The sequence below is a fragment of the Homo sapiens genome, chromosome 6 (assembly GCF_000001405.40).
Source record: "Homo sapiens chromosome 6, GRCh38.p14 Primary Assembly".
Lineage (NCBI taxonomy): Eukaryota > Metazoa > Chordata > Mammalia > Primates > Hominidae > Homo > Homo sapiens.
The window spans coordinates 49588205-49601654 of record NC_000006.12 but is presented as its reverse complement, the minus strand read 5'-3'; the positions used below and the strand labels follow the sequence as shown (position 1 = coordinate 49601654).

Here is a 13450-nt window from a genome sequence, read left to right as displayed (position 1 = left end):
CTTGCCTTCTGCTAACTTTTGAATGTGTTTGCTCTTGCTTCTCTGGTTCTTTTAATTGTGATGTTAGGGTGTCAATTTTAGATCTTTCCTGCTTTCTCTTGTGGGCATTTAGTGCTATAAATTTCCCTCTACATACTGCTTTAAATGTGTCCCAGAGATTCTGGTATGTTGTGTCTTTGTTCTCATTGGTTTCAAAGAACATCTTTATTTCTGCCTTCATTTTCTTATGTACCCAGTAGTCATGCAGGAGCAGGTTGTTCAGTTTCCATGTATTTGTGCAATTTTGAGTGAGTTTCTTAATCCTGAGTTCTAGTTTGATTGCACTGTGGTCTGAGAGACAGTTTGTTTTGATTTCTGTTCTTTTACATTTGCTGAGGAGTGCTTTACTTCCAACTATGTTGTCAATTTTGGAATAGGTGTGGTGTGGTGCTGAGAAGAATGTATATTCTGTTGATTTGGGGTGGAGAGTTCTGTAGATGTCTATTAGGTCCACTTGGTGTGGAGCTGAGTTCAATTCCTGGATATCCTTGTTAACTTTCTGTCTCGTTGATCTGTCTAATGTTGACAGTGGGGTGTTAAAGTCTCCCATTATTAATGTGTGGGAGTCTAAGTCTCTTTGTAGGTCTCTACAATCTGGGTGCTCCTGTATTGGGTGCATATATATGTAGGATAGTTAGGTCTTCTTGTTGAATTAATCTCTTTACCATTATGTAATGGCCTTCTTTGTCTCTCTTGATCTTTGTTGGGTTGAAGTCTGTTTTATCAGAGACTAGGATTGCAACCCCTGCCTTTTTTTGTTTTCCATTTGCTTTGTAGATCTTTCTTCATCCCTTTATTTTGAGCCTATCTGTGTCTCTGCACATGAGTTGGGTTTCCTGAATACAGCACACTGATGGGTATTGACTCTTTATCCAATTTGCCAGTCTGTGTCTTTTAATTGGAGCATTTAACCCACTTACATTTAAGGTTAATATTGTTATGTGTGAATTTGATCCTGTCATTATGATGTTAGCTGGTTATTTTCTCATTAGTTGCTGCAGTTTCTTCCTAGCATCGATGGTCTTTACAATTTGGTATGGTTTTGCAGTGGCTTGTACCAGTTGTTCTTTTCCATGTTTAGTGCTTCCTTCAGGAGCTCTTTTAGGGCAGGCCTGGTGGTGACAAAATCTCCCAGCGTTTGTTTGTCTGTAAAGGATTTTATTTCTCTTTCACTTATGAGGCTTAGTTTGGCTGGATATGAAATTCTGGGTTGAAAATTCTTTTCTTTAAGAATGTTGAATATTGGCCCGCACTCTCTTCTGGCAGTTTCTGCCAAGAGATCTGCTGTTAGTCTGATGGTCTTCCCTTTGTGGGTAACCCAGCCTTTCTCTCTGGCTGCCCTTAACGTTTTTTCCTTCATTTCAACTTTGGTGAATCTGACAAGTATGTGTCTTGGAGTTGCTCTTTTCGAGGAGTATCTTTGTGGAGTTCTCTGTATTTCCCGAATTTGAATGTTGGCCTGCCTTGCTAGGTTGGGGAAGTTCTCCTGGATAATATCCTGCAGAGTGTTTTCCAACTTGGTTCCATTCTCCTCGTCACTTTCAGGTACACCAATCAGACGTACATTTGGTCTTTTCACAAAGTCCCATATTTCTTGGAGGCTTTGTTCATTTCTTTTTACTCTTTTTTCTCTAAACTTCTCTTCTCACTTCATTTCATTCATTTGATCTTCAATCACTGATACCCTTTCTTCCAGGTGATCGAATCGGCTACTGAAGCCTGTGCATTCGTCACATAGTTCTCGTGCCATGGTTTTCAGCTCCATCAGGTCCTTTAAGGACTTCTCTGTGTTGGTTATTATAGTTAGCCATTCGTCTAATCTTTTTTCAAGGTTTTTAGTTTCTTTGCGATGGGTTCAAACTTCCTCCTTTAGCTCAGAGAAGTTTGATCATCTGAAGCCTTCTCTCAACTCGTCAAAGTTATTCTCCATCCAGCTTTGTTCTGTTGCTGGTGAGGAACTGCGTTCCTTTGGAGGAGGAGAGGCACTCTGATTTATAGAATTTTCTGTTTTTCTGTTCTGTTTTTTCCCCATCTTTGTGGTTTTATCTACCTTTGGTCTTTGATGATGGTGACATACAGATGGGGTTTTGGTGTGGATGTCCTTTCTGTTTGTTAGTTTTCCTTCTAACAGTCAGGACTTTCAGCTGCAGGTCTGTTGGAGTTTGCTGAAGATCCACTCCAGACCCTGTTTTCCTGGGTATCAGCAGCAGAGGCTGCAGAACAGTGAATACTGCTGAACAGCAAATGTTGCTGCCTGATCATTCCTCTGGAAGTTTTGTCCCAGAGGGGTACCCGGCCGTGTGGGTGTCAGTCTGCCCCTACTGGGGAGTGCCTCCCCGTTAGGCTACTTGGGGGTCAGGGACCCACTTCAGGAGGCAGTCTGTCCCTTATCAGATCTCAAACTCCATTCTGGGAGAACCACTACTCTTTTCAAAACTATCAGGCAGGGACATTTAAGTCTGCAGAGGTTTCTGCTGCCTTTTGTTCAGCTATGACCTGCCCCCAGAGGTGGAGTCTACAGAGGGAGGCAGGCCTCCTTGAGCTGCAGTGGGCTCCTCCCAGTTCGAGCTTCCTGGCCACTTTGTTTACCTACTCAAGCCTCAGCAATGGTGGGTGCCCCTCCCCCAGCCTCCCTACCTCCTTGCAGTTCAATCTCCTACTGCTGTGCTAGCAATGAGCGAGGCTCCATGGGCATGGGACCCTCTGAGCCAGGTGCACAATATAATCTCCTGGTGTGCCATTTGCTAAGACCATTGGAAAAGCACAGTATTAGGGTGGGAGTGACCTGATTTTCCAGGTGCCGTCTGACACAGCTTTGCTTGGCTAGGAAACAGAAATCCCTGACGCTTTGCACTTCCCGGGTGAGGCGATGTCTCACCCTGCTTCAGCTCACACTTGGTGCACTGCACCCAGTGTCCTGCACCCACTGTCGAACAAGCCCCAGTGAGATGAACCCGGTACCTCAGTTGGAAATGCAGAAATCACCCGTCTTCTGCATTGCTCGTGCTGGGAGCTGTAGACTGGAGCTGTTCCTATTCGGCCATCTTGGAACTGCCCCCTAGTTGACTTCTTTTAAACACACGTCAGAACTTCTTTCAAATAGGTGTTCTGGAGTGTGCTCATTTATAAAGTCCACTCTTCTCTCCCTTCTGATCCTTAAAAAGAATCATTTTCATTACCAGGGTAATGAGACCCCCTCCCCTCCCTGCTGATCATAAAGCAAATCTTGGAGGGTCTTGGGTATACTCAGGAATATAAGTAAGTCTATCATTTTGATGTGCCAGGGAACTGGCTCATGATCATCATCACTCCCTGGCTTGTAAACACTCTCTCCTGCCTTCCTGCAAGGCAGTTCTTGTAAGTAATAAAGCCTTATTTTTCAAATTCTGAGATAGTGGTCTTCTTTTCACAGTAGAATAATATGTTTTTTATCTATCTTGCCTGGAATTTAGTGAAGCATTTTAATTGTAATACTTGAGTCTTCTGTTCAGTTACATTTTTTTCTACTATTTAGTAACTTTGTCTTCTTCAACTGTTAATTTTTTCTTTTTCTGGCACTCTTGTTATTCATATGGAAAGTCTGCTCGGTCTCTTATCCAAGATCTTCCCGATCTTTATTTCATTGGTTCCATTCATCTATTTCTTCAATTTATTTTTGTTTGTTTCATTGTTGTAAATCATGGTCCATTTTTGTAGGTCCAGCAAATCTGTGTGTGTGTGTTCACACGTGCATACACGTACATGTGCTATGCCTGAATTTCCTTACTTTTATAATTTTGTTTATTGGAGATGGGTGCTATTTTTGTTCAAGTTCAAAATCTGTCTGCAAAACTTAAATAACATCATACTTTATCTCTTCACACACACACACACACACAAACATCTAGGATGTTAACTAATACTGTATTTATGATAATTGGTTGATTTGATTAGAAATCTCGAGTTGTACTTACATGATCAATTCCAGGAAGTCTTTGTTATTCTTTGTTGTTATCTAAATCTGAAAGATTGACTCATAATCACTAACTGCAATTTCAGACAGTTTGGTGAAAGCTGAAATCTTCAGGCTTCCCCAACCCTTTTTTCCATAGTCCGTAACCCATTTCTTGCACAAGACAAGAGAACTCTGCTGAGGAAAGTTGTGGGCGGACTTTTCTAGTAGCTGCATTTTGTTAGAAGCCACTTACTTTGTGTGTTTTCTTGACTCTCTTCACTTTGAGTGCTGGAAGCATTAGGTGGATTGTCCTTTTTCTTTTTGTTTATTCACTGAGGGTTAAATTCCAGCTGCTGAGATACCTTGGGTGACAAAAATCTTAAAAATGAAGGAAGGGACAGTAATCTCTGGCTGAATGGATTAAAGTTTTGCCAGATGCCAAAATAGAACTTCCTTGGATTGGCACCCAAAGGAAATCTCTTTGTTCATTTGTTTTTTCACCTGCTAAAGCGTTGCATTATCTTAGAATCAGGGCTAAAAGTAGCTCAATGTATCTGCTAAGCCCTCCTGCCACCTATGGGGGACCAGAAAGACCCACTGTCATTTCAGGAACACTCAACTGAGAAGCTACATCACGATCCACTGGGAATTCACAAATCTCTGCAAACCAGCTGTACCCACATCCTTAGCTCATGACTCTACAACTGCCTCCAGACTTTCCTCCAACATACAGGAGGGAAGTTCTCTGTAGGTGTTGTCATTGGTGTCTTCCCAGAATCTAAAGGTTTCACATCCTTCAGTCCTGGTTAATGCTCAGCTCAGGAGAGGTCCTATACTTTAATTGTGGACAAGGTTAAGAGGGACACATTGAAGCGCCCATCTCCCCACTTAAATAAGCTATAAAGATGTCACTCCATGTATTTTACAACTCGATAACGTTACATGTTTCATTTAAAGTCTGCTCTTTTAAGAGCAGACACAATTCATTTATTTCTTTGTAACCCTCACATCTTCAATAGAGCACATGTTTTAGGGAAGCTTGTTTAGTGGATGAATTGATAAGTAATTGAATGACTTGAACAAACCAAGGCAATCAGCCTCAAAGAAGCAAAGGTATCCTTTTTTAAATTTATCTGGTTACTCATTTATTCAATAATGATTCATTGAGCACTGGCTAAGTTTGACTTTATAAATACAAAGTCATATAAGATAAAGCTCTTGATATATCCTAGATATATATATATATCCTAGATATATATATATCCTAGATATAGATATATCCTAGATATATATATATATATCCTAGATATAGATATATCCTAGATATAGATATATCCTAGATATATATATATATCCTAGATATAGATATATCCTAGATATATATATATATCCTAGATATATCCTAGATATATGTCCTAGATATATATATATCCTAGATATATATATATCTCCTAGATATATATATCTCCAAGATATATATATATATCTCCTAGATATATATATCTCCAAGATATATATATATATCTCCTAGATATATATATCTCCAAGATATATATATATATCTCCTAGATATATATATCTCCAAGATATATATATATATATCCTAGATATATATATCTAGGATATATATCAAGAGCTTTATCTTATATGACTTTGTATTTATAGAGTCAAACTTAGCCAGTGCTCAATGAATTATTATTGAATAAATGAGATATATATATACATATATATAGATATAGATATAGATACCCTAGAATATAGCTGGTGGATCAGTGACATACTAAAGTGTCTATACTGACAGGTTCTATTATGGTAGCAAACACAGAGTAGTATACATAGGAGGAGACAAGAACCTAAATCAAATTCAGCCACTCAAGGAAAACTTGCCAGAAAAAAATTCAAAATGACATAAAGAAAGCATACAGCTAAGCAGAGACTGGATTAAGAACGAATTCTACTGAAAATAAAACCGATACTCTTTTCCCTGGAGACCACCCTGCTCATGAAATGAAAGATTGAAAGTCTGCTCAATCAATTTCTTCTTCTCTTTTTGAAGGTAGAAGTTATTTGTGTGTGAGTGTGAGTGCTAACGTGGAGTAGGTCAGTTGGGGAGATTAGCAAATGGGAGGAGTTAGCAAACCCATGAACTATCAGATCTCTCCACTTTTCACTTTACTTCCTGGGCCACCTACCTCTATCCCTGTCCAACTCCAGACCTAAGTTCCCTTCTATTTTAGGAGTATAAAATCTAGTCTTTTCTAACTAATAATTTTGGCTTTTATATTGGCCTTATTTTGATGTGTGTCCATTGAAAATCTCTCAGAATAGTATGTATTCCAGCTTCATCTAACATAAATGAGAGCAGTTATAGTGCACCCTAGCTTTGTTAACCAGACAGACACTTCCAAGAATTAATTTGATAGAAAGTATAATTCCATCAAGCTGGGCTCAGTGGCTCACACCTGTAATCCCAGCACTTTGGGAGGCCGAGGCGGGCAGATCACCTGAGGTCAGCAGTTCGAGATCAGCCTGGCCATCATGGTAATACCCCTCCTCTACTAAAAATACAAAAATTAGCCAGGCGTGGTGGCATGCACCTGTAATCCCAGCTACTCAGGAGGCTGAAGCAGGAGAATCACATGAATCCAGGAGGCAGAGATTGCAGTGAGCCGAGATCATGCCATTGCACTCCACCCTGGGCAACAGAGCAAGACTCCATCTCAAAAAAAAAAAATATATATATATATATATATATTTAATGATATAATTTATATATATATATAAATTATATCAGATCTTCTTTTGAACAAAGTCATTCTCCCTTCTTTTGGCCTTGAATTTAATCCCTTCTTAATCTTTTACTATTTAAGTATCTTTAGACAAAATACTTTCTCTCTGAGCCTCTTTATTCAGTTATAAAAAGAGATAATACCTACTCTGCAGAGTTATTTTGAGGATGGGGAGGGACACACAATTCAGTCTATAACAACCATCGGATCCTGATATCCCATTCAAGTTTTGCCAAATGTTTTCATGATTTCCATTATAGCAAAATGATCTAGTTCAGGATTCCACTTTATACCTAGTTTCTTGCCTCTTTAGTCCTTCAGTCTGGAACAGTTCCTTGGTGTTTCTCTGACTTTCATGACCTTGACACTTTTGAAGAATGTAGGCAGTTATTTCATAGAAGGTCCCCACTCTGGGTTTTGCTGATGTTTCCCCATGATTAGATTTAGGTTATACAACTTTAAGAGCAATATCACAAAAGTGAGCCTATATACTGAATTGCATCCTACCAGGTGGAATTCTTTTTGAACTTGTTCCATTATTAATGATTATTCACTTCAATCATTGATGGAGAGCGTGTTTCTCTGCTTTAAAGTTTCTTGTTTTTATCTTTATAATTCATTTTATTTTGTGTGAAAGCAATATGAAATCTTCCACATCCCTATGTCAATGTCCCATTCCTCCTTAATCTTTCAATGCATTCATTTATTAACTTATATCCCTATAGATTCATGATTTTTTTATTTTATTAAATTATTTACAATACATTATAAAAACATTTGTTGTGACGGTGAAATTGTCCCAGATTTGCCAGTGCAAGTCTATTCATGCTGGTTCCTATGTCTTTCTGAGATGTGCTCATCTTATCCTTTTCCTGTTCTAGCTGTTTTCTCAATTCCTAATTTCTTTGTTTTTGTTTTGTTTGTTTGTTTGTTTGTTGTTTGTTTGTTTTTGAGACAAAATTTTGCTCTTGTTGCCCAGGCTGGAATGCAATGGTGCAATCTCGGCTCACTGCAACCTCTACCTCCCGGGTTCAAGCGATTCTCCTGTCTCAGCCTGCCGAGTACTTGCGATTACAGGCACCCGCCACCAAGCCTGGCTAATTTTTTGTATTTAGTAGAGACAGGATTTCACCATGTTAGTCAGGCTGGTCTCGAACTCCTGACCTCAGATGATCCACCTGCCTCAGCCTCCCAAAGTGCTGGGATTACAGCCATGAGCCACCGCACCTGGCCTCTGATTTCTTTTAGTTGTATTTATAGTCTGAGATCTGCAAGCTATGTGTGCTCATTGCTATTGGGATGCTGCCTTTCTCCAGCCCTCTCAGTTGGAGAGATAGGGAATATAAATGTCTCTGAAGGCATATATGTGCATCTACAATTATTTCTATATCTATCTATATATTTTAATATTCAATGAGTTCTGCTATAATGCTTGTTTGGAAAATGTGAATCTGTTTCAGTACAATTGACATATTAAGGAACAAATTAAGCATAGCATATATTTTGTGTTTGCTTATGCATTATTTTGTTTACAAGAAACACAAGATGAAAACAGAAAACTGCATCCAGCTGAACCAAGCCTGGACACAAAATATGCACATACACACATGCACAAATCTCTACATTACCTCAGTTCATCTCATGTGCTATGAGCTATACCCATCTCATCTAATGTCACAGCTTTCTGTCTGATTTAAAGTAAACCTCTTCCACCATTGCATAAGTTGCAATTCTTCTGTTCCCCACTTCCACAATCAAACTTCAGGTCCTTTTCAAGGTAAAATGACATATTTAGTATAATATTTATGTACTTCTTACCCACTTCACATGTGTAAACTGTACTATCATTTTTAAGTTTCAATCTTTTGTGTGTGTGTCAATAATGAAGTATTTGAGTTTTGTGCTCCAATATTATTTTATCATAAGCCCTGTGGGTTTTATTGTATAATTCTGCATGGCACAACAATTTTAAGTAATCAGCATGTCATGTTATAAAAGAACTGATTCTATCCAAAATCATAGGTTTGTTGCCCTGTATGGTGGCTCACACCTGTAATCCTAATACTTTGGGAGGCCAAGACAGGAGGATTGCTTGAGCTCAGCCTGGGCAACATGACAAGACCCCATCTCTACAAAAATAAATGAATTAGCCAAGCATGGTGGGGTGTGCCTGTGGTCCCAGCTGCTCAGGAGGCTGAAGTGGGAGGATCTCTGGATTCTGAGAGTTTGAGGTTGCAGTGAGCCATGTTCATGCCACTGTACAACTGGCCAGATGACAGAGCAAGACTTTGTCTCAAAAAAAAAAAAAAAAAAACCAAAAAACAAAACCTATAATTTTGCACAAGATGTCTAATTCTAACCCAACACTCAAAGATTCATTCTGGTTTTCTCATTTTCTGTATTTGGAGCTCCTTTCTCCAACAGCAACAAATCAGATTCCTATCATCCTTACTATAATTACTTAATTGATCAAGCTCCTGTATGTAGCCAATCTCTTATCGCTACTGTTGCCCCATTCTCCATGCAGATGGCTTCCACACCACCCACAATCAGGCTCCATAACCAGGGTTTCCCCTGTGTGTATGCCACTTCACCCTGCACAAGGCTATGACAATGCACACCAGACCACTCTTCCCTGTGGTCACCCTTCTCACGCCTCTTGGCTCTTATTCTCCCCAGGGAGCAGCCCTTTTACATGCACACACTCCTCACACTGCTCAGGCTCCAACATGTCGTGATCTCAAACATCACATCCCCTCATCACCAGGTGTGGACACCTACCTAGTTCTACCCAACTCAATGGCTATGTAACCGAATTGTTCATTAAAAGAAAAAATGAGAGAGGAAGAGCAAGAAAGAGAGTTGCCATTTGGGGCAGAGGAATAAAGAGTAGTGAACTATCACTCTGGGAGAATTCTATTTCCTGGACTTGCATTATGGAATTAGCTCTATTTTACTTTGGAAGAGTCTTTTACTCTTCTTGAAGGAGTGAGCTGGGGACAAATTCCTAGCCATCTTTCTTCCAAAATTCCAGTGGAATATACACAAAATGGGGCATAAAATGACTAAAAAGTATTGCTCCATAAACTGGTGGTTTAATAATTGTGGATGTTTAATGTGTTATGTGTTAAGGAAATTCATTTTATCCTTGATTTCAAGCAGAAAGTGATTTTTCAGTTCAAAGTGAGTTCTGCATGTCCATGATAAAAACATATAAAACATACTTCTTTTACAGATAAAATGCTGCCAAGGAGGGAGGAAAAGTATGTAGGCACCAGAGCACATAAGCAGTGAGCTGTTATGATGCTCCAGTACATCCTGGTTGTCTGTTTGTTGACTTCACCAGCAAACAGTCAGGATTTAGCTTATAACAGAGAAAAACAAAACACACATTCATTGATGCACACCTCTCCACTATTCTTTGAATAAGTGAATTATTTATTTAATTAATGAAGGCTAAATTTAAAATCTCAGGGCAAAATATCCTAAAGCAAAATAGTGTAAGAAGAAACAAATGGGAGACATAGGAGGATCTCTAGGATTTGACCTACAAAGAATCTAGTTCAATCCAAAACTAGTCTCCTAGAAACACTTTGTTTGTTTGTTTGTTTGTTTAAAATCACTAGTTTTTTAGTGAGCTAGGAATGAGAACTTAGGCCGAACACAGCAGCTTATGCCCATAATCCCAACACTTTGGGAGGCCTAGGTGGGTGGATCACGAAGTCAGGAGTTTGAGACCAGCCTGCCCAACATGGTGAAACCCTGTCTCTACTAAAAATACAAAAATTAGCCAGGCCTGTAATCCCAGCTACTCAGGAGGCTGAGGCAGCAGAATCGCTTGAACCCAGGAGGCGGAGGTTGCAGTGGCCTGAGATTGCGCCATTGCACTCCAGCCTGGGTGATATAGCAAGATTCTGCCCACAGTCCCCCCACCACCAAAAAAAAAAAAGAAAGAAAGAAAAAAAAAGAAATGAGAATTTATATCAGATCACAAAATGCATTCCTTTTAGTGTATTGACCATTCATGCACATAGTGAATTGTAAAATTTCGCATTATGATGTGCAGGTTCAGTCACTCTGTTCAAGCCCATTAGACATCTTCAAAAATCCAAGGTAATATATTCCTTTCAGATATCATCATATGTTTATACACAATGATATTGAAAATTCATGTGTCTGAAGTGAGCAAAATCAAGCAAAATGGTCTTATCATTTTTTTAACCTGCACACAAAAGTTTTTTGTTTTTTTTACTGACATGCATTTTACTAAACTCCTGGAATTAAGCCAAGCTGTCTATCCTGTGGTAAAACACACCAAGATGTCTTATAATACAAGGTTTTTGAATAAATGCATATGTGTGGATCTTTGTTCACTAAATCCTTTTTCTCATTTTAAACAAGTTTTTCAATTAACACGCCAAATACTAAATAGCGGAGATTTGACACTGTTTAATTTACCTGAGCCTTGTGCTCTTAGAAAATGGTGAAGGTTAAAGGGATTCCCTCTGCCACCATACACACACCCTTTTGTGTTCCAGAAAATGGCTTACTGCAAGAAAGCACCCTTCCCTACATGACTTAGACAAGACTCACAGATACCCCCTTGTTTACCTATGACAAGGCCAAGCACAGACCCTCCAAATTTCTATGCTTTACTGCATAAATGCTTAGCTGAACTACTTGTTTTTACTTATCAATTGAACAAAAATGCATGTTAACCAAATTGGTTAAGCTTCTTTCCTCCCCCTAGGCTGCTGAACTTTGGCTCACCCTCAGCCTAACCAGCATAGAACCTCTGCTGAGAATATACTGCCCCATAGTGAAATATTCTCTGATCTTCTCTCCAATCATGCCACTCTTATGCCGCTTCTCCAAAGCCAGTTCTTTCTGGCTTTGTTTATACCTCTCCAAACCCTTAAGACAGTAATAGACCTATGGTCTTAGCATTTTCCATATTTCAAGAGTCTCTCCTACTCTGTTGCAATAGTCCCTTTTCCTCCCTGCCAATAATCCTTTGGAGTTAAAGCCTCTCCTTACTATGTTGGATTTATTTTTTATCTGACAGATTCTACTGAATGTTGAAGCTATATAGATTATGGGGCATATTTATATATAAATTAATTTAAGTTAATATTCACACTAAAGAAGAATGTGGCAAAAAAAATATGGTAAAATTCAAAAACGAACGTGAAGATCCAGACATACTCCCACCCATTTATTTGAAAGACTCTGGGGTGATTTTAGGATGAATGTGTGTATGTATGTGTGGCGAATATTCATGAACCTAAAGATACCATATATGTGTGTGGATGCCAAGGCCCTTGGCTCTCTAAAAGCCTGCTAAAAAAATAATCACTGACATGGAACAGATTAATTAATAGGATAAAAGGCATACAAATTTGTTGAACATGTATACACTGGAGCCCTCAGAATGAAGACCCAACATTCTAAAAGAATGTGGCCTTTGACACTAAAAAGATCTGAATTTGAATTCAAGTTCGCACCTTTTATTATGTTGCTGGTGGCAAGCTACAGGGGAAATTTCCATTTTCATGCTTAGGTTTAACAAAGTATTGACGGCCATGAAGAAATATGATTGGACAAAAAAGGCATGATCTAATGCTTACAGACTAAGTGGGAAAACCCAGTGTGTTAGTCTGTTCTTGCATCACTGTAAAGAAATAACTGAGACTGGGTAATTTATCAATAAAGGAGGTTTAATTGATTTGTGGTTCTGCAGGCTGCACAATCATGGCACCGGCATCTGCTCAGCTTCTTGTGAGGCCTGGGGGAGTTTTACTCATGGCAGAAGGTGAAAGGGGAGCAGACACATCATATGGTGAGATCAAGAGCAAGAGGAGGGGGGAGGGACCACACACTTTTAAACAACCAGATCTCACAAGTATCATAGGATAGCACCAAGCTATTCATGACGGATCTGCCCCCAAGACCCAAACACCTCTCACCAGGCCTCATCTCCAACATTGGGGATTATATTTCAACATGAGACCTGGGGAACAAACGTCCAAACGGTATCACCCATCAAGGACTGTCCGTCTAGATTTTTCTTGGTTTCTCTATGTAGCGTTCCTTTCTTCTGAGTATGAGGTAGGACCCTTTCTGAAATGGAGGTCTTATGACCTACAGTCAAACAAGGTAGGACAGATAATTTCATTATGGCCAGTTTTTACACGGAATAATTTTAGGTTTTATGGCTGGCATTCGGGAAAAGGCGTTCTTGTTTCTTTGGGGAAGAGAGATTGGGACTCCACTAGAATCTCAGAGGAGTCCCAATCTCAGAGGAAAATGGGACTGAGAGACAGGAGGCCTGGAGAACTTCAGAGAAAAACTATTGTTTCTGAGGCTGCTGCTGTAGTCTTCATTTTAGGGTATTTGTTTCTGAGCCCCAACATATGGTATGGCTATCTGTGAATATAGAATTTTTTTTAATGTCTTTTCTCATTTTTTCCTTTTTATCCTATTTATTTATTTATTTGAGACAGGGTCTCCTTCTGTCACCCCGGCCCAGGCTCAAGACAACTTCCCAAGTAGCTGGAACTACAGACACCACCATGCCTGCCCAATTTGTAAAGTTGTTTTTTGGGGTTTTTTTGTTGTTGTTGTTTGGTTTTTTAATCAGGTCTCATTATGTTGTACGGGCTGGTCTCAAACTCTTGGGCTTGAGTGA

At 39.3% G+C, this 13450-nt stretch overlaps 1 annotated feature.

Moving 5' to 3' along the window:
* Positions 3213–3413: a silencer, noted in NCBI's record as "peak5837 fragment used in MPRA reporter construct". NCBI's record gives its function as "represses an SCP1 promoter by STARR-seq MPRAs in K562 erythroleukemia cells {active_cell/tissue: K562}" and the evidence as "EXISTENCE:reporter gene assay evidence [ECO:0000049][PMID:32103011]".